This window comes from Homo sapiens, chromosome 15 (genome assembly GCF_000001405.40).
Source record: "Homo sapiens chromosome 15, GRCh38.p14 Primary Assembly".
Classification (NCBI taxonomy): domain Eukaryota; kingdom Metazoa; phylum Chordata; class Mammalia; order Primates; family Hominidae; genus Homo; species Homo sapiens.
In genome coordinates, this window is record NC_000015.10 from 56,379,455 (window position 1) to 56,402,084 (window position 22,630).

General features: G+C 37.0%; 1 protein-coding gene across 33 annotated transcripts in view; it reads left to right on the top strand.

The window, feature by feature from the left end:
• Nucleotides 1-22,630, top strand: part of TEX9 (testis expressed 9) — a 216,038-nt gene that overhangs the window by 135,482 nt on the left and 57,926 nt on the right. For 18 of the 33 annotated variants that reach the window (NR_169562.1, NM_001385043.1, NM_001385041.1 and 15 more), the window contains 6 exons: nucleotides 4,498-4,577; nucleotides 9,018-9,066; nucleotides 9,864-9,946; nucleotides 11,789-11,964; nucleotides 14,711-14,793; nucleotides 15,207-15,380. The exons of 3 other annotated variants lie outside the window; for them this stretch is intronic. Coding sequence is in view for 26 of the 30 variants with exons in the window: in XM_047432466.1 (XP_047288422.1) it covers nucleotides 4,498-4,577; nucleotides 9,018-9,066; nucleotides 9,864-9,946; nucleotides 11,789-11,964; nucleotides 14,711-14,793; nucleotides 15,207-15,380 (645 nt within the window). In the remaining 4 variants the exon portion in view is untranslated. Of the gene's footprint in view, nucleotides 1-4,497; nucleotides 4,578-5,031; nucleotides 5,130-5,777; nucleotides 5,851-9,017; nucleotides 9,067-9,863; nucleotides 9,947-11,788; nucleotides 11,965-14,710; nucleotides 14,794-15,206; nucleotides 15,381-22,630 lie in introns of those variants that run through there. 12 more of the 33 variants (NR_169560.1, NM_001385052.1, XM_047432472.1 and 9 more) reach the window with 7 other exon arrangements.

Sequence of the window (22,630 nt, forward strand, 5' to 3'; positions counted from 1 at the left end):
GTGACCTAACATATGGTCTGTCCTTGAGAATGATATACATGCTGAGGAGAATAATGTGTATCTGTAGTCTTTGGATGAAATGTTCTGTAAATGTCTATTGGGTCCACTTGTTCTGCAGTGCAGATTAAGTCTGATGTTTGTTGAGTTTCTTTCTGGGAGATCTGTCCAGTGCTAAAAGTGGGTGCTGAAGTCTCCAGCTATTACTGTATTGTGGTCTAGCTCTCTCTTTAGCTCGAATAATATTTGCTTTATGTATCTGGGTGCTCCAGTGTTGCATGCATTTATATGCAATCATTATATCCTGTTGCTGGATTGACCTCTTTAGCATTATATAATGACCTTCTTTGTCTCTTCTTACATTTTTTGTTTTGAAATTTATTTTGTCTAAGTATAGGTTCTCCTGCTTTTTTTTTTTGGTGTAGAATATCTTTTTCTACCCTTTTTATTTTCAGTCTATATATATATCTTTATTAAGTAAAGTATGTTTCTTGTAAGCGACAGATCATGGGGTCTTGTTTTATCATCCATTAAACCAGTCCGTCTTTTGATTGAAGAGTTTAGTGCATTTACATTCAGTGTTAATACTGATAAGGGCCTTAATCCTGTCATTTCATTATTTGTTTTCTGGTTGTCTTGTGGCATTCCTTCCTGTCTTCCTTTTATTGAAGGTGATTTTCTCTTGTGGTATAATTTAATTTCCTGATTTTTATTTTTTGTGTGGTCATTGTATGTTTTTTGGCTTGAGGTTACTGTGAGGCTTGCAAATACTATCATATAACCCATTGTTTAAAGCTGATGACAACTTGACGCTGATTGCATAAACAAACATGCAAAAAGAAAACTAATACAAACTCTACACTTTACTTTTATCTCCCTAGTTTTTAACTTGTTGTTACTGTTTCTGTCTTACTGTACTGTCTATGAGTTAAAAAGTTGTTGTAGTTATTATTTTTAATTGGCTCATCATTTAGTCTTTCTACTTTAGAGTAGTTTACACTCAATTACAGTGTTATAATATTCTGTGTTTTTCTGTATGTTTACTATTACCAGTGACTTTTGTACCTTCTGATGATTTCTTCTTGCTCATTAACATCCTTTTCTTTTAGATTAAAGAACTGTCTTTAGCATTTCTTGTAGGACAGGTCTAGTGTTGATGGAATGCCTCAACTTTTGTTTTTCTGGGAAGGTCTGTTATTATCTTTCATGTTTGAAGGATATTTTTGCTGGATATACTATTCTAAGGTTAAAATCTATATTTTTTTCTTCAGCACTTTAAGTATGTCATGCCACTCTCTCCTGGTCTGTAAGGTTTCCACGGAGAAGTCTGCTGCTAGATGTATTGGAGCTTCTTTGTATGTTGTTTGTTTCTTTTCTCTTGCTGTTTTTAGGATCCTTTCTTTATCTTTGACCTTTGGGAGTTTGATTATTAAATGCCTTGAGGCAGTCTTTTTTGGGTTAAATCTGCTTGGTGTTCTATAGTCTTCTTTTACTTGAACATTGATAACTTTCTCAAGGTTTGGGAAGTTCTCTGATATTATCCCTTCGAATAAACTTTCTACCTCTCTCTTTCTGCCTCTTCTTTAAGGCCAATAAGTCTTATATTTGCCCTTTTGAGCCTATTTTCTAGATCTTGTAGGCATGCTTCATTCTTTTTTCTTTTGTCTCCTCTGTATTTTCAAATAGCATGTCTTCAAGATTACTAATTCTTCTGCTTGATCAGTTCTGCTATTAAGAGACTCTGATGCAGCCTTCAGTATGTCAGTTGCATTTTTAACTCCAGAATTTCTCGATTCTTTTTAATTATGTCAATCTGTTCGTTAAATTTATCTGATAGAATTTTGAATTCCTTTTCTGTTACTTGGGTTTCTTTGAGCTTTCTCAAAACAGCTATTTTGAATTCACTGTCTGAAAGGTCACATGTCTCTGTTTTTCCAGGATTGGTCTCTGGTGTCTTATTTAGCTCATTTGGCAAAGTCATGTTTTCCTGGATGATCTTGATACTTGTAGATGTTTGTCACTGTCTAGGCATTGAAGAGTTAAGTACTGTAGTCTTCACAGTCTGGGTTTATTTGTGCCAGTCTTTCTTGAGAAGGCTTTCCAGTTATTTAAAGGCACTTGGGCCCCCTGCCCAATATCACTAGGGTTTTTGCAGACTTGTAGAGGCCTTGGTGGTCTTGGATAAGATCTGAAAGAATTCTCTGGGTTACCAGACAGAGACTCGTTCTCTTCCTTTATTTTCTCCCAAACAAATGGAGTCTCTTTCTCTCTGTGCTGAGCTGTCTGAAACTAGGGGTGTGGTGATGCAAGCACCCCTGTGCCCAGCACCACTGGGATTGTGCTCCGTCAGACCTGAAGCCAGAACAGTACTGGATGTTGCCCACAACCTGCTATAAACACTACCTGGCTACCACCTATGTTCACTCAAGGCCCTAGAGCTCTACAATCAGCAGGTGATGAGGCCAGCCAGGTTTGTGTCCTTCCCTTCAGGGTAGCGAGTTCCCCCAGGCCCTGGGTGGGTCCAGAGATGCTGTCTGGTAGTCAGAGATTGAAGTTAGAAATCTTAGAAATTTATCTGGTGTTCTAGTGTTTTGTGGCTAAGCTGGTACTCGGACTACAACATAAAGTCCTTCCTGCTGTTCACTCCCCTTTCCACAGGCAGAGGAGCCTCTCCTTGTGGTCACCACCACCACCAGTCCATAGCAGGGTTCTGCCAGGCCACTGCTAGTGTTCACTTAAAGCCCAAGGGCTTTTCAGTCAGGTCGTGGTGAATGTTGCCAGGCCTGGGACTCACCCTTCAAGGGAGTGGGCTCCCCTCTGGCCCTGGGCAAGTCTAGAAATGCTGTCTAAGAGTCAAATCCTGGAATCAGGCACCCCAAGAGTCCACGTGGTGCTCTGCCCTGCTGTGGCTGTGCTAGTTCTTAAGGTGCAAGACAAAGGCCCCTTTACTTTTCCCTTTGCTTTCACAAGCAGAAGGAGTCTTTCACTGTAGCCACTACAACTGGGAATGTGCTGGATCACCCCTGAAGTCAGTATGTCTCAGAGCCCAAGGCCCATGGCCTGCTATTAATACCTTGGTATTGCTGCTGGTTATTTGGGGCCCAAGGTCCCTTTATTTAGCAGGTGATGAATGCTGTCAGAACTGGGTCCTTCCCTTCAAGGCAGCAGATTCCCTCTTGGCCCAGGATGTGTCTAGAAATGTCATTTAGGAGCTAGGGCTTGTAATGGTGGCTGCGTGACTCTGCCTGGCACCCTGTTGGCTGTCTTCCATGGCCGAGGTGGTATCCGAGATGCAAGATAACATCCTCTTTACTTTTTGTTCTCCTCTCCTTAAACAGAAGGAATGAGACACTTTTGTTGCTGTGAACTGCACTGCCTGGTGTTGGGGAAGGCATGGCATAAGCAATCCTTTAGTGCCCTGGTTGGTGTTTTCCTAGGTCACAATTGGTGTCTCCCTAGGTGCCAGCCTAGTCCTCTGGCTCTGAGTCAAGCCCAGCACTAGGATTTGCCTAGAAAATGGAGCCATTGTATCCTAGACTGCCCTTCAAGTTTACCTAGGACCCCAGAGCACTTTGGCCAGTAGTGGCAAGACTTGCTGACAAACTGGAGTTCTGACCCACAGGATGGGTGATTTTCCTCTGGCTATAGCTGGTCCAGATGCTTCCTCCATGCATGGGTACTCAAAGTCTCCGCCCCGCATGACTTTGCTCTCCACTCTGACAGGGCAGCACTGAGTTCAATGCACAGTCGCCCAGTCACTGTGCTGTCCCTCCCCTAAGTGCACAGACTCTTCAGGCTGCACAGCCACTGCAGGAGTGAGTCAGGAAGGGGTGGTGTCAGCTTTTTAAGTCTCTCCAACCTTCTTCAATGCCTCTTTCAATGATATGAAGTTAAAACCAGGTACTGTGTTTGCTCACCTGATTTTTGGTTCTTGTGATGATGTTTTTGTGTGCAGGTAGTTGTTAAAATTTGGTGTTCCTGCAGAGGGAATGAATAGTGTAGGCTTCTATTCCACCCTCTTGCCTCACTTTCATTTCTTGATGTGTCTTTGCCAAAAGCTTTTACCCCTGATACTTCACTTTTAGCATCTTCACAGTCTTCTCAACATTGAAGTTTTTCCTGATTTGAGACAAATTTTTCTACCCATTTAGTGAATTTATTTTTTAAATTTCTTGTGCCTCCTTCTAATTTCTGCTGTATGCTGTATAAGCTGGAAGACTCTAAAGGGCTGGGGAAACTGGAGTTAGAAATATTATGTAAAGGCCTTGATATTCTTACATTTTCCCCTTAGGATGGAATTTTTTAACCCAGAACAAATGAAAGGTGCAACTAGTGTTATAGACCTTATCTTCATACTATAGCATTTAGAATTCCGTGCCTTTATGTTATGGAAACCTTGGACAATTCTGAAATGATGAATGTTCAGAGAGGCACTTGAATATATCTTAATGGTTTGGTTTTTTTTCTATATGATATATTACCTATCTTTACTCATTTAAGAGAGATCGGCAAGAAGTACGATCTAGGCCTGTTTCAACACAAATGAAATCATGTGATGACGAAGATGATTACAGTTTAAGGTAAGTATCTTAAATTCTCAAGCACCTTCTTTTAAAAGGATGTACATGGATCGTTATGTAAGATCTTTTTTGCATGCAAACATTGAAAAATCTATAATTTGAAGAATAATGTATATATAGGGGGCTTATACCAATCAGACACAGTGCAAGCCCTTTATCTCATGTAATTTTCAAAATATTATTTTGAAATGTATATTCTTGTCCTCATTTTTAAAACTTTAGAGAGGAAACAGGAAAAGTACATAATCGATGTGAATAAAACTATGAAATCATATTGTAGCAGACGGAATGATGATCACCAAACATTCCAAGTCTCTTACAGTTGTCATTGGGCTATGAACAGAAGTTTAGTTAATCTCTTCCAAGCCAAAACAGACAAAAATTGGTGTGTGGACCTCCAAATGACTTTCCAGCCATGAAGATGAGTAAAATTCCAATTGGTAAAATCTCCTAGCCTGGTGTCTGGGTGACCGTGTGTGGACCATGTAGAAAAAAGGATCTTTCTTCGTCACTACTGCTGCATTGAATGGGTTAAGCCACTGGAATTTTTAGGTTACTATCCTGCTTATCTTTGCTAATGTTGAAATTGGTATTGGGAATGGAATGCTGCATAACAAAAATTCAGAAGTGTGGCATTACCTTAGCAGTTAGGTGGGAGCCAGCAAGGAAACTGATATTGGAGGCTGGAAAGATAAAGGATTAATATTATGTAGTGGCAATGAATTTAGTAAAACTATCATCTGTGGTAAATTGGGAGGCACAACAGGTGTCTAATGAACTTGTTCTCTGGGGAAAGAGGCTGAAACACAATATCAACAGTATGTCCTGTTAAAGAGACAAGTTTGGGAAACATTTGGCTGATTTGTAAGCAGAAATAAAAGGGAATACCTGATTATCTAATTCAGAGTCACAAAGATTTACGACCATGATTTCTTTGAAGAGCTTTATGGTTTTAACTCTTAGATTCAGGTTCTTTGATCCATTTTGAGTTAATTTTTGTATGTGGTATAAGAGTCAACCTCCATTCTTTTGCACATGGATAGCCATTTGTCTCAGCATTATTTGTTGAGAAGACTGTTCTTTCCCCATTGAATGTTCTTAGCACTTTTGTCAAAAATCAGTTGACTGCAGACATATGGTTTTATTTTTGGACTTTCATATCTGTTCCATTGATCTATATGGTTGTCATTATGCCAACAGCACACTCTTGATTACCCTTGTTGTAACTGTGGAGTTGTGGAGTAAGCTGGTTTTAGACCTCAAGAATTACAAGGTAAAATTGAGAAAATCTGTAAGGAACAAAAGCCTATCAAAATTCAACCTTGAGACAAATATCAGACTAAACATGTGGACTTCATGACTACTGATACAATTTTTCAGTGGATTAAGGCTCCTCAATGCAAGGATCAGATTAAATGGCACATAGTGAAACTTTTCATTTGGGTAAAATGGCCCATGGCAAAGACCTAACTAAAGTTATAGTCTCTCCTTAGAAGCTTGACAGTGTTAAAGTAACCCATTTTTAAATTGAGAAAGAGAGGTCAGGTGAAGAAATAAATAAATAATTAGTCTTGGAAAGAATTGTAGGTGATGTAATGGCATGTAGAACTGGCTGAAATTAAATAGGGAAGAAACCCACTAGTTTGGGGGAAAGTTTTATCAGCAAAGAAACTCTAACAATGGACTATAATTATTTCTGGCTTTTAAAATATTAAAACAACTATGGGTACCCCGCCTTCCAGTATTCTAAGATCAAGAAGTAGGCTATAAGAGGTGCATAGCCCTACAGGGTTTAGAGACAAAAGAGAAGCTTATTACTGACATGGCAGTATATTTGGCTCATGTGAAATATTGGGACATTATTCATTTATTCAAAAATAATTATTGCATGCGATCCAGTATTTCCCTTCCTAGATATTTACCCAAGAGAAATATAGACATATATCCACGAAAAAACCTGCATGTGAATTTTTAGATCAATTTTATTCATAATTACCAAAACCTGGAAATAATTAAAATATTTATCAATTGGTGGCTGGATAAACAAATTATGGTATATCCATGCAATGGAATACTACTTGGCAATAAAAAGACATGAACTACTAATAGAATAACAACATAGTTGCTAAGTGAAAGAAGCCAGGCTAAAAAACGTCCATAATCTATGTTTTCACTTATTTGATGCTCTGGAAAAGGCAGAGCTTTAGGGACAGAAATCAAAGTGGTTGTCTGGGGCTTGAGTAGGAGTTAGGGGACTACCAAGGAACACAAGGGAACTTTTTGAGATGGTGGAAATACTCTCTGTCTTGGTGGTTGTGGTGGTTATGTGACCATATACATTAGCTAAAACATATTGACCTGTATATGTAAAAAGAGTATATTGTGTGATGTATCAATTATATCTCAAACCTGAAAAAAATAATTTTTGAACACTGTTAGTGCCAGTTCTAGCTACTGGTATTACAGTGGTGAGTAAACAGACCTGATCTTGCTTCCAAGAAGTTAATATGTGTTGCTTTTGAGTATTTTTTAAGTACATCAATTACACATTTTTATATTTTGATAGACATATGTATGCGTACATATACCATGAAACCACTTATCTTTATTATATGTAATACTGTGATATTCTATGAAAAATAGATATTTAAGTTATCAAAATTCCAAACTTTGGATTATACATAAGATTAGACATGATGTTTATCCAGTAAACTAAAGAACTGAAATGATGCTAACAACAGATGATGATGTTGTGATGATGACGCTCTGTTTACCTATCAGTTTTTTTTTAATGCAACTGTTTGAACAGATGGCTTTTACCATGTAAAACATGGCATTTGTTGATCAGTTGGGAATTCCTGAATATGGGAGATAATTCTATAAAGAAACCATTCATTTCAGGTTGGAACAATGATATTCCACCTAAATAATTATAATTAGGAAGAATATATTTTAATAGGTCTTCAACACCCAGGATGACTCTGTCAAAAAATGTGATGGGAAACCAGAGTTTAATTTCCTAATAACGTAGTATACGTATCCTCCAGTCTGCTTGAAGCATGGTTTACCATACAGTTATTTCCATCATATTACAAACAGACATTTCATGGAGTTAAACAAAAGTAAGAATACCATACTATAGCTTACTTTTCATGAAAATACACTAGCAAAGTAATATCACTGTGAAATCTGATGGAGACAGATAACCCTTAAATGTCTTTTGGCTGATATGTATGCATGTATGTTGGGGAATGGAATGAAAGGTACAGAAAATGTACTAAAATGACAAACATTAATTTAAAATGAGGAAGATTAAAGAGGACACTTAAAATTTGTATAACATTTGGAAACATTTTCATGTCATTTGTGAGAATGATTTAGTTTCTGTAATTTTTAACATATTTTGAAAGCCTTTTTTTCTTCCCAGAGGTATTTCTAATAGTTAAGAGGTTTATTTATCTAAGTATATCTTTGTATTTAATATGAAAAAATTTATGCATGGCTAGCTAAGTGGGAGGCATCTGATGGAAAATAATTTTAGTTGTATGTCTTCTCCAATGGTTAGGAGTTCTCAGGGGATATAGTGGAGTTTTTTCATAGCAATAATGGATGCTAACATGGTATGTTTTCAGAGATATAAATACAATGCCCAAGACAATGGGTTAGGCAAACTTTTTCTGTAAAGGGGCAGATAGCAAATATTTTTAGATTTGTGGGCTGTATAGTCTGTTGTACCTGCTTAACTTTAAGGTTGTAGTGTGAAAACAGCCATAGATAATACATAAATGAGTGAGTGGGTGGATTCAGCCTGTGGGCCATAGTTTGCAGACCTCCATAAACACTCCTTGTTTGAAACTACAAATATATTTTGAAAACCTTGTGTATAAAAATGAATTGCATTTTACGTGTATTTATTCATGCACTCAACAAATACTTACGCCAGTAGTACCTGGCATATAAACTTTTAAATTGACTAGGCATAGAATATTGAACAAGGCAGACGTGATTTCTACCCTCATAGAGTTCACAATATAATGAGGAAAACAGGCACTAACCAGGTGTTTTAAGTGGATTAAAAGAACAGTAACATTGAGTGGGCTTACAATAAAAAGCCCTGTGGTGAATTATTTGTAAAATGGGTAATTGCTGTGGATAGCCCACAATTACTCTTTATGATTTCCATTCATTAAAATTTTTGCTACATTTTCCTACTAGAATATTGGCATTATAGTGTATCTTCTCAAAGGTGAATTATTTAACCAAAGCATTTTTCTTGTTTATGGTACTCATTCAAAATAAATTAACATGTGGGTAACTAGAATTATAGCAAAGTCTGTTTGATTGTTGAATATTTTCCCTTTCAAATATAATTGTTGAATTTCATTGTCTCAGCTCAGTGTCATCTATTATTAATGTATAATGTTTATTTTTGGCCTGTAGAGGTCTGTTACCATCTGAAGGGATAGTTCATCTTCATTCAGAAACTAAGGTATGAAATCAAACTTTCTGTGAATGCAATTATATTCTGTAGAACTCCGGATATTTTTTAGACTTTTCTTAGACAAAGCAGAGAAGGGGTATGACTCAACAGAAATAGAATATGAACCTTGATACTCAGAGGGATGCATTTGTGAAGTGTCCCTCATAAACTAAATGGAATCCTTTGTTGTCTCATAATTTCACTGAATAATTTGGAGGTATAGTGGAAAAAATGTTAGGTGAAATGACTTTGTAAACTGAGGCTTATTTTTTTTTCCTGACGCTTAAATCTAGTAGAGAGAAGACTTGAAAAAGAATGATACTCATATACAAAGAAGGTGATTTGAAAAGTTTGTTTGTTCATTTAAATAGTGACAGTGTAGAGATCACTCTTCCAGGTGTAGAACATAGTGGGATCTATGTTTCCCATCCATGGAGACCTAAGCCAAGGGAACTGTATACCTGAAGGCCACGGGAGGTCTGCCTGGGGAATAATTGGTTCATGAGGAGAACTAAATTCTGTGAGTCAGAACGTCCAGATTTATTCATGACATTCCACTGGCTAGCTGAATACCATTGAATCTTTAGGACTCATTTTCCTTATACTTGAATTTCTTGGTTTTGGTGTTATCTAGGTCTTTTCCAGCTATACAGTTGTGATATTCTTGAAAACACATTTTTGGTAATTCCATGAAAATAGCAAATAGCAGTTTTTCTGTGTAGCAAAATTCTATGTGTTACAGAATTGCTTTCTTTGGCAAATGATTAGACTCTAATTAGTCAATACTTTCAATTCTTTTCATGTAGCCAAAGACCAAAAACATTGATCCTGTAAACAAGGTTCAAAACAAATTACACTCTGCAAATAAAGGAAGGAAAACAAATTCAAGGTATAGTATAGTTTTCAAAGTATTTCTTTTTTTTTAGTTTTGTAATTCACAATACCATCATTCTTAATTATTAAGCTCTGTTTGTTTTTCCAGATCTTTTTACACCCTAAACATTAAGTTACACCACATATATCTTATCCACATTCAGTAATTTAGAACATTTTCTACTCAGGAATGTTTTGCAGCAGTTAACAAATATTTTATATTGTTCTCTTAAGCAAAATTGCTAAATCTAAAATTTTTATAAATGTTATTTCTAGTGAGTTATTCTCTTAGAACTGTGACTACAACTGGGTTTTTTTTTTAATCTCTGCCTAGTTCTCCCAAATAGGCTCAATAGTGTAGTTTTTGAGTATTTGACAAAATGCATATATTATTTTGTCTGTTGAGCTACAGAATGATTTGGCATGCTCTAAATAGGACTATAATATAATTATAATTTACATTTTGTTGTTTTGGGTGAGAAAGAATTCAAGACGGTTCTTAGTATTATAAGCATAAAAAGGGACCCAAGATGCTCCCTAGGATAGGATGCCTTCTAGAAAAGGTGGAGGATTGGGTTGCACCAACCATCTTCAGTAAGTTATTAAATTTATTTGTCTATTACTTACCCAGGCTGATCATTGTATTGTAATTCTGGAAAAATCTTTGTTCACTTTTGTGTCTTAATTGTTTAAATAACTTTTTTTTTTTAATAAAAGGGATGGAAAAAATAGAGTGAAGTGATAAGGAACAGAAATTAACTATACAATAGATTGAAGAAAAGAACATACATGCCACATACATGCATATATAACTGGAAAGGGTTATCTTTTCAGACTTCACATTTTTTTAAAAAAAGTTGATTTTTCAAATAGAATTCTGAAGATCAAGACCTACTATTTGATAGCACAATAGGGTGACGATAGCCAATAATAACTTAATTATATTTTTAAAATAAAGAGTGTAATTAGATTGTTTGTAACTCAAACAATGCTTGAGGGGATGGATACCCCCTTCTCCATAATGTGCTCATTTCACATTGCATTCCTGTATCAAAACATCTCATGTACCTCATAAATGTGTATACCTACTGTGTACCCACAAAAAATTAAAATGAATTGTGAAGCCTTTGCTTATGTTTTAAAAGTGAACTTGGCTTTCAGAACCATAAATTTGTTGATGTGTCAATGAATTAGGCCTGGACTATTCCTCAGTGCCTTTAGAAATGAGTTTGATTTTGTCTGTCTTCTCCTTTTCATTAAAAAAAATTCACATCCAACTTTTTGGTTAGTATTGATTGTGGTTAAGAATGTGTTTCTTTGGGTGGAAAAAATGTTGTTTGATTGAGCTATTAGCTCTTCACTCTGTAATTCTTTCTCAAGGGGTATTTTTCTTTGCTGTTTGTAGAATTATGGCCAGGATGATGTCAGTTTGTACAGTTTTTCTCTAGAAGCGTGTAAATTTAAAAGTCATAGGCTGGATTTGACCTAGGAGGCCAAGTGCAATACTCTTAGTTTTGGTATTGCCTTATTTGGAAGCAAAGTCTATACCATCTGGCCTCATAAAGCCTTCTCTAGCTCTGTGGTCACATGATTCATAAAAACCAAAAATCTGCTAAGTCTCTTGTAATATAGTCCTTGAAAGTATCACATGTAGATTTCATCATAAATTTAAAATGTGTAATAGTAGTCTCTTGTAATATAATCCTTAAAAATATCAATTACAGATTTCATCATAAATTTAAATTTATAATAATTTTGATCTGCTTATTTGGGTAAAAGGCATATATCCTGTCTACCTTTCCTATTTTGTTCATATGTACGTATATACATACATATGTATTTAATTTTTATTTTTTAGTGTTAAATTGAAATACTCTGATGTCCAAACTGCCGACGATGTTGCCATTCCAGAGGATTTCTCAGACTTTTCCCTTGCAAAAACAATTAGCAAAATTGAAGGGCAACTGGAGGAAGAAGGCTTACCTGAATATATAGATGATATTTTTTCTGGTGTTAGTAATGACATTGGAACAGGTAGATTTTCTTTAGTTTTTTATTTTTATCTTTATAGCACAGTTACTTAGAAGAAGAAATCTTGGGGAACTATTTCTTCCATTTAAAAAAATGTATTGTGATGTCTTGGTTTGTTTCAGAATTATCTAGTAGGATGTGGTGGAGGGAGGAATGAATGGGATTATAGATTAAATAAAATTGGCCATGGGTCAGTCATTGTTAAAGATAGGTGGTGGGTAAATGAGGTTCATTGAACTCGCCTACTTTTATGTTTCATATTTTCCATTATAAAAAGTAAAAATAAAAAAGACTATATTGTACTGATTTGATTGAATACATTTCAACTTAAGTTAAAATACCCATTGCTTATTGTTAAAATATTAAAAAAGTTTTTCTGAATTTTTTCATTTACTGTTAATATATTTTATTTATTGCATGTTAAATCAACACATGCAAAAGGACAAATGAATTGACATTGCATCAGGTAAAACAATCAAATGAGTGTTCTAATGAATATAATTTTTCTTCTTATTAACTCATTCTTTGCATATCACTAGAATAATAATACTAAATTTTGATCAACTGAAAACATTAGTAAATTTATGAGGAGCCTCCTATGCTATTGAAACAAAAAAGTAAGACAATTGAGTATATATGAACTAGTTACTGCTGAACTATAATACAATTAATTGTGACTACAGGCAAGCCACTTAGCCCCTCTGTAATAGCAGTTTATTCATTTGAAAATTTAGTAGTTTGTATTAGATGATCATTAAGTTTATGTATTAGTCTGTTCCTGCACTGCTATAAAGAAATACCTGAGACTGTGTAATTTATAAAGAAATGGTTTAATTGGCTCATGGTACTGCAGGCTGTATAGGAAGCATAGCAGTTTCTGCTTCTGGGGAGGCCTCAGGAAACTTCCAATCATGGCGGAAGGCAAACAGGGAGTGAGGCATCTCACACGGTGGGATCACGAACAAGAGACGGGGGAGGTGCTACATGCTTTTAAACAACCAGATTTCATGAGAACTCACTATCATGAGGACACTACTAAAAGGGATGATACTAAACCATTCATGAGAAACCACCCCCATGATCCATTCACCTCCCACCAGGCCCCACCTCCAACACTGGGGATTACAATTCAACATGAGATTTGGGTGGGGACACAGATCCAAACCATATCAGTTTATCTTTAAAATTCTCTGATTCTGTGAAAAATCATAATTTATATGTATAATAATTATTGTGTTACTAATCACAAGTAGGGAGCAGTTTTCTTCTGCACTTACTATATTTACTGATCTAATCAAGCTTTCTAGGGCTAGTTATGGTAAGGGAAGGTAAATGGAGCAGTAAGTTGCCTTTAGGTCTCTCTAAGATGCTTTAGAGGATGTGATGCACAGGCATTGATTGTTCCTCGGTAGAGGAACATGGTCCCATGTCCCATGGCCCTGTTAGAACTTTGCCTCCCTGTGTTCCCTTTTTAGTATCACTGGCCTAGGTGTCTTCTCTTTTGGGAGAATTTTCTCTTATTTTAGATGATTGCTTGGAATGGTTTGGTTATGTGTGGGAGAAAAAGACCAAGAGGTAATTTGGGAGCACAGATTACTTTGTAAGATTAAAGCTAGGGTCGAGTGGGGAGCAGAGTTTAGTACTGTGGGCCTCCAGACATGGGAGCACTCTGCTCCTTGAGTTAGAGTTGAGGTAGAGTTACTAAGGTTAGAGTTAGGGAGAAAAAGAAATGGGAAAAGTCATGCTTTCCTATTTTTTCTTCCCTCTTTCCCTCAGAGGCCAACTACTGTCAACTTCACCCTTTTTAATTTGTCATTTCCCTCTACTCCCTACTCACCTGGAGTTACATGAGAGGCTGGTAGGAGAGTTGAGGCCAAAGAGACCTAGGTAGGGTTAGAGCCAACCATAATTCATCAGCTCCATGATAACACTGAGGGCACTTAAAAAAGCTGGAAGTGTGTATGGAGATGTTTTATGCTCTGCACGTCACATGTGTATGGCTTAGTGAGATTTGTCCTAATGACTTCTCAGAGCAGTTCCAAGTGTTTCCTCAAGATAAATTCCATGATGGTAAGGGTTGTTTTATAATATTCCTACTATGCCATTTTGAACAAATCACTGAATGACTTATGAGTGAGTTCTAAGTTCAGTTTTCACTTTATTTACTTTATGGGCCTATAAACTTCAAAGATTTACTGCTGATATTATTGAATAATGAACTTTTGCTGGCAGTAAAGTACCAAAGATAGATCCTGAAGGTTTGTGGGAGAAAGCTTAGACAGTAAGGTATTAGTGTATTTCTTTGCTTCAAAGACACATATACTACATTTTAACTGCTCAGAAATTGGGATCTGTGTTACAGTCAGTGGCATTTTGTAATCACAGTGGCTGCACTGAAGCTGAGTTTTGCTAGAGAAGATTTATGTTTGTTTCTGCCAAACTCTCAGGGACATTACTGACCTGAGAACACTTTAAATAATCTGATGTAGTTTGGACCACCCTGGTGCGTGTGAATTTAGTCTGCAAACTTATGTGAATACTACCTGTGATTTCTTTCTGTTGAGTGGATTTATTCGTCATTGACCTTTTCATTAGGACTGTTGAGTACCTATAGTGCCCCCTAACAGATATCTCCTATTTGACTCCCCATCTTGAGTATTTTCTTCTTTATAAAGTAATGGTCTGTCTTACAATTGATGTCATCTTAGATTCAGCAAAAGACAGTAAATATAATTATTTAAATTCACAGAAGCACAGATCAGATTTCTAAAGGCCAAACTCCATGTTATGCAGGAGGAATTGGATAATGTTGTATGTGAATGCAATAAAAAGGTAAGTTTTAAAAACCTCTTAAAAGGCTCTAATATTCAAAGATATTTTAGGAGCAATTTCAATTACATTTTTTGAATTACTTTATTTAGATATAAATCATAGTTAAATTTTGAATTCAAAAATTGTATATAAGTACTGAACTTTATTCTGAGATGTTGAATTTTCACAGAGCTGAAATATCTTAAATTCTTGCTACAATTAGAATTCTCTATATTAGTCTTACAAATGTAGTGTAAGCTATTAAATGCAAATAAAACATTTGACTTCCATTTTTGAAGATAAAAATAGACTAATTTGTTTTTCATGAAACGTGTATAAATATCAAAGAACATATGAAACGTCTTTTTTTCTGCTTTGTTTTGATAACAAATCTTACATATTTTTTCACATAATCTATAACTTTATAACTATAGGAGGATGAAATTCAGAATTTAAAGTCTCAAGTAAAAAATTTTGAAGAAGATTTTATGAGACAGCAGCGAACAATTAATATGCAACAGTCTCAAGTAGAAAAATACAAAACTCTTTTCGAAGAAGCAAACAAAAAGTATGATGGATTACAGCAACAGTTGTCTTCAGTAGAAAGGGTAATTATTTGGTATTTTTCCTAACTTAATGCCACAGATACAAGAAAATTATTAAGGTTACACATTTGTATAGATGCCATTTTGACAGTTCAGTTATTTTATTAGTATTTACTGAAAACTCTTTCCCCTTACATAGAATATTTTTAACAACTTTATTGAGATGTAATTCACCCTTTTAAAGTATGCAATTCAATGGCTTTTGGTGTATTCATAGAATTGTGCAACTATCACCACAACCATTTTCATAATCCCTAAAAGATACTTCATACCCTTTAGCCACCACACCCTGACCCTGCTCCCCTCAATCCCTTACAGCCCTAGGCAACCACTATTCTATTTTATGTCTCAATAAATTTGTCTATTCTGGAAATCACATATACGTGGAATCATATAATATGTGGTCTTTTGTGACTGACTTTTACTTAAGATATTTTCAAGGTTCATTCATGTTGCAGCCCCTATCAGTATTTTATTTCTTTTTATTGGCAAGTAACATTCTGTTATATGGATATAACACATTTAATTTATCTGTTTATCAGTTCGTAGCTTTAGGTTATTTGGGTTGTTTCTACTGTCTGACAATTTTAAATACTTTGAATATTCATGTACAAGTTTTTGTGTGCACGTATGTTTCTATTTCTCTTGGTTATATAGCCAGGAATGGAATTGCTGGGTCATATGGAAATCCTATGTTGACCTTTTGAGGAATTGCTGACTGTTTTCCAACCTGCCTGTACCATTTTACATTCCTACCAGTAGTGCATGAAGCTCCTAATTTCTACACATCCTCACCAACATCTGCTAGATTATCTTTTTGATTATAGCCATACTGCAAGTGTAAAAGGGTTACCTCATTGTGGTTTTGATTTGCATTTCCCTAATAACTAATGATGTTGAACATCTTTTCATGTGCTTATTGGCATTTGTATATTTTCTTTGGAGAAATGTCTGTTAAGGTCTTTGCCCATTTTTTAAATTGGATTTGAAAAAATTACTGAATAATAAGAACTTTTAAGTTCTTTATGTGTTTAGATACAAGTCCCTTATCAGGTATATTTTGCAAATAGTTTTCCCCTACAGTGGGTTGTCTTTCACTTTCTTTATGGTACTCTAAAGGCACAAAAGTTTTAAATTTTGATGAAGTCCAGTTTATCTAATATTTATTTGGTTTCCTGTGCTTTTGGTGTCATATTTAAGGGGAGAATGTATTTTAAATAAACTATCCTAGCTTATATTAGTGTGCCATTGTGAAAATAAAAATATACTGTTTGAGATTGCTTTGTAAAATGTAGTGACGATAAGAATTATGTAATATAGCATATCCCGAGATTTAGTAAGAAAATGTGCCCCCTTTATTAGTACCCTTACATTTCTCGTTTGTATGGTCATATTTAAAAACCCTGCTTTTTAAACATTTTGGTCTTGTATAATTAGCTTTATCTTGTAATAAATTTTAATATCAAAATCACTTAGACAAAATTTATATGCAGTAAATTCACACTTTTTAGTGTACAATTCTATGAGTTTTGACAAATGTATGCAGTAATATAACTATCACTATAATTGAGACATAGAACAGTTCCATCAGCCCCCCAAAATTCCCTGTGAATTTAGTGAAGGCCTTCCCTAATTCCACCACCAGGCAACCACTGATCTGTGTTTGGTTCTTAAATTTTGGACTTTTCCCAAATGTCACATAAATAGAATCGCATTGGATATAGACTTTTGAATCTGTTTTTTTTTTTTTTTTTTCAGTTAGCATAAAACATTTGATATGGTTTGGCTGTGTCCCCACCCAAATTTCATCTTGAATTCCCACTTGTTGCGGGAGGGAGCCGGTGGGAGGTAATTGAATCATGGGGGCAAGTCTTTCCTGTGCTGTTCTTGTGATGGCGAAAAAGTCTCAGGAGATCTGATGGTTTTAAAAGGGAGAGTTTCCCAGTGCAAACTTTCTTGTCTGCTGCTATGTGAGACATGCCTTTTACTTTCCAACATGATTGTGAGGCCTCCCCAGCCATGTGGAACTGTGAGTCCAATAAACCTCTCTCTTTTGTAAATTGCCCAGTCTTGGGTGTGTCTTACCAGCAGCATGACGATGAACTAATCCAGTAAATTGGTACTAGTAGAGTCAGGCGCTACTGAAAAGATACCAAAAAGTGTTGAAGTGACCTTGGAACTGGGTAAGAGGCAGAGGTTGGAAAAGTTTGGAGGGCTCAGAAAAATACAGGAAAATATGGGAAAGTTTGGAACTCCCTAGAGACTTGTTGAATGGCTTTGACCAATATACTGATAATGATATGGACAATGAAATCCAGGCTGAGGTGATCTCAGATGGAGATGAGGAACTTGTTAGGAACTAGAGCAAATGTGACTCTTGTTATGTTTTAGCAAAGAGACTGGTGGCATTTTGTCCCTCCCCTAGAGATCTGTGGAACTTTGAACTTGAGAGAGATGATTTAGGGTATCTGGTGGAACAAATTTCTAAGCAGCAAAGCACTCAAGAGGTGACTTGGTGCTGTTAAAGGCATCCAGTTTTGAAAGGGAAACAGAGCACAAAAGGTTGGAAAATTTGCAGCCTGAGAATGCAGTGGAAAAGAAAATCCCATTTTCTGAGGAGAAATTCAAGCCGGCTGCAGAAATTTGCATAAGTCTTGAGGAGCTGAATGTTAATCCCCAGGACAATGGGGAAAATGTCTCCCAAGGTATGCAGAGGTCTTCACGGCAGCGCCTCCCATCACAGGCCCAGAGACCTAGGAGGCATGATTGGTTTTGAAATGTGAGGACATGAGATTTGGGAGGGTCTTGGGGTAGAATATGGTTTGGCTGTGTCCCCACCCAAATTTCATCTTGAATTCCCATGTGTTGTGGGAGGGACCCAGTGGGAGGTCATTGAATCACAGGGGCAGGTCTTTCCTGTGCTGTTCTCATGAGAGTGAATAAGTCTCAGGAGATTTGATGGTTTTAAAAATGGGAATTTCCCTGCACAAGCTCTCGTCTGCCACCATGTGAGATGTGCCTTTACCTTCCAGCATGATTGTGAGGCCTCCCCAGCCATGTGAAACTGTGAGTGCAGTAAATCTCTTTCTTTTGTAAATTGCCCAGTCTTGGGTATGTCTTTATCAGCAGCATGAAAACGGACTAATACAACATTCAATATTTATCCCTATTATAGTCCATTCCTTTTTATTGCTGAGTAGTGTAAACTATGAATGAATGTACTTCAGTTTGTTTCCCCACTCATCTAGTAATAAAAGTTAATTATAGTATTTAATAGTCTGAACTTGTGTTTCCAGTATGGTAGCCACTTACCATATGTGGCTAAATTGCGATGTGCTATAACTATAAAGTAAAAATCAGATTTTGAAGAATTCATGTAAAACAGAATGAAGAATGTAAAATATCTCAAAATCTCTTTAATATTTTTTGTATTGGTTATATGTTGAAATAATATTTGAATATATTAGGTTAAGTGAAATATGTTATTAAAATTAATTTTACCTGTTTGTTTTACCTTCTTGCAGTGGCTACTAGAAATTTTGTAATTACATATGTATTCTGTATTCTATTTCTATTGGTCTAAGAAATATATATAATTGGTCTAAAGGGAAAAAGCTGTAGTGTCTAGGGGAACATCCATGTTTTAATTTGTCATGACTTTACCATTTACCGTTATGCACCCAAGCTCTGTCACATCACTGTTCTAGTCTCAGATAATCTTGAAACCTTGGTTATATATTTGATTCTTTTCATGTTCTTGGCCATCATGTCCAATCCTGTGCAATTTTTCTTCCAAATGTTTTTCATTCATCCCTTATTTTCAGTTCCCATTTTGTGTCCATTTTCCATTTCTTATCCATTGTATACTGTACTTTGTCAGTAGATTAATGTTGCCAAAGGGTGACATTGATTATACTTTTCCCTTTGTAGGGGGAGAATTTTTTTTTCCCTTTGTATGGGGATAATTTTTTGAGTGCCATATGCCAGACAAAATGCATTTTATAGAAACGGAAACTGACTGGCCAGGCATGGTGGTTGATGCCTGTAATCCCAGCACTTTGGGAGGCCAAGGCAGGTGGATCATGAGGTCAGGAGATCGAGACCATCCTGGCTAACATGGTGAAACCCTGTCTCTACTAAAAATACAAAACAGTGCCCTTCTAAGATGGCCAAATAGGAACAGCTCTGGTCTGTAGCTCCCAGTGTGATCAACGCAGAAGACAGGTGATTTCTGCATTTCCAACTGAGGTACCTGGTTCATCTCACTGGGACTGATTGGACAGTGGGTGCAGCCCACGGAGGGTGAACTGAAGCAGAGTGGGGTGTCGCCTTACCCGGGAAGTGCAAGGGGTTGGGGGATTTCCCTTTGCTAGCCAAGGGAAGCCATGACAGACTGTACCTGGAAAAATGGGACACTTCTGCCCAAATACTGCGCTTTTCCCAAGGTCTTAGCAACCGGCAGACAAGGAGATTCTCTCCCGTGCCTGGCTTGGCGGGTCACACACCCACGGAGCCTTGCTCACTGCTAGTGCAGCAGTCTGAGATCGAACTGCGAGGTGGCAGCTTGGCTGTGGGAGGGGCATCTGCCATTGCTGAGGCTTGAGCAGGTAAACAAAGCGGCCGGGAAGCTTGGACTGGGCAGAGCCCACCACAGCTCAGCAAGGCCTACTGCCTCTATAGACTCCACCTCTGTAGGCAGGGCGTAGCTGAGCAAAAGGCAGCAGACAACTTCTGCAGACTTAAACGTCCCTGTCTGACAGGTCTGAAGGGAGCAGTGGTTCTCCCAGCATGGCGTTTGAGCTCTGAGAATGGACAGACTGCCTCCTCAAGTGGGTCCCTGACCCCTGTGTATCCTAACTGTGACACACCTCCCAGTAGGGGCCAACAGACACCTCATGTAGGTGGGTACCCCTCTGGGACGAAGCTCCCGGAGGAAGCATCAGCCAGCAATATCTGCTGTTCTGCAATATTTGCTGTTCTGCAGCCTCCGTGGGTGATACCCAGGCAAACAGGGTGTGGAGTGGACCTCCAGCAAACTCCAAAAGAACTGCAGATGAGGGACCTAACTGTTACAGGGAAAGCTAACAAACAGAAAGGAATAGGATCAACATCAACAGAAAGGACATCTACACCAAAACCCCATCTGTAGTTACCAACATCAAAGACCAAAGGTAGATAAAACCACAAAGATGGGGAGAAACCAGAGCAGAAAAGCTGAAAATTCTAAAAACCAGAGCACCTCTTCTTCTCCAAAGAATTGCAGCTCCTTTCCAGCAACAGAACAAAGCTGCATGGAGAATGACCGACGAGTTGACAGAAGTAGGCTTCAGAAAGTCAGTAATAAACTTCTCTGAGCTAAAGGATCATGATGTTCTAACCCAACACAAGGAAGCTAAAAACCTTGAAAAAAGGTTAGACGAATGGCTAACTAGAATAAACAGTGTAGAGAAGACCTTAAATGACCTGATGGAGCTGAAAACCACGGCACGAAAACTCCGTGATGCGTGGACAAGCTTCAATAGCCAATTTGATCAAGTGAAAGAAAGGGTATTAGGGATTGAAGATCTAATTAATGAAATAAAGTGAGAAGACAAGTTTACAGAAAAAAGAGTAAAAAGAAATCAACAGAGCCTTCAAGAAAAATGGGACTATGTGAAAAGACCAAATCTACATTTGATTGGTGTACCTGAAAGTGATGGGGAGAATGGAACCAAGTTGGAAAACACTCTTCAGGATATTTCCCAGGAGAACTTCCCCAACCTAGCAAGACAGGACAACATTCAAATTCAGGAAATACAGACAACACCACAAAGATACTCCTCGAGAAGAGCAACACCAAGATACATAACTGTCAGATTCACCAAGGTTGAAATGAAGGAAAAAATGTTAAGGGCAGCCAGACAGAAAGGTCGGGTTACCCACAAAGGGAAGCCCATCAGACTAACGGGAGATCTCTCAGCAGAAACCCTACAAACCAGAAGAGAGTGGGGACCGATATTCAACATCCTTAAAGAATTTTCAATCTAGAATTTCATATCTAGCCAAACTAAGCTTCATAAGTGAATGAGAAATAAAATCCTTTACAGACAAGCAAATGCTGAGAGATTTTGTTCACCACCAGGCCTGCCTTACAAGAGCTCCTGAAGAAAGCATTAAACATGGAAAGAAACAACTGGTACCAGCCACTGCAAAAACAGGCCAAATGGTAAAGACCATCAATGAGAAGAAGAAACTGCATCAATTAATGGGCAAAATAACCAGCTAACATCATAATGACAGGATCAGATTCACACATAACAATATTAACCTTAAATGTAAATAGGCTAAATGCCCCAATTAAAAGACACAGACTCGCAAATTGGATATAGAGTCAAGACCCATCAGTGTGCTGTATTCAGGAGACCCATCTCATGTGCAGAGACACACACAGGCTCAAAATAAAGGGATGGAGGAAGACCTACCAAGCAAATTGAAAGCAAAAAAAAAAAAAAAAAAAAAAAACAGGGGTTGCAATCCTAGCCTCTGACAAAACAGACTTTAAACCAACAAAGATCAAAAGAGAAAAGGCCATTACATAATGGTAAAGGGATCAATTCAACAAGAAGAGCTAACTATCCTAAATATTTATGCACCCAATACAGGAACACCCAGATTCATAAAGCAAGTCCTTAGACACCTGCAAAGAGACTTAGACTACCACACAATAATAATGGGAGACTTTTACACCCCACTGTCAGTATTAGATTAATGAGACAGAAGGTTAACAAGGATACCCAGGACTAGAACTCAGCTCTGCACAAAGCAGACCTTATAGACATCTACAGAACTCTCCACCCCAACAGAATATACATTCTTCTCAGCACATCACACTTATTCTAAAATTGACCACAAAATTGGAAGTAAAGCACTCCTCAGCAAATGTAAAAGAACAGAAATCACAACAAACTGTCTCTCAGACCACAGTGCAATCAAATTAGAACTCAGGATTAAGAAACTCACTCAAAACCACACAACTACATGGAAACAGAACAACCTGCTCCTGAATGACTACTGGGTACATAATGAAATGAAGGCAGAAATAAAGATTTTCTTTGAAACCAATGAGAACAAAGACACAACATACCAGAATCTCTGAGACACATTTAAAGCAGTGTGTAGAGGGAAATTTATAGCACTAAATGCCCACAAGAGGAAGCAGGAAAGATCTAAAATTGACACCCTAACATCACAATTAAAAGAACTAGAGAAGCAAG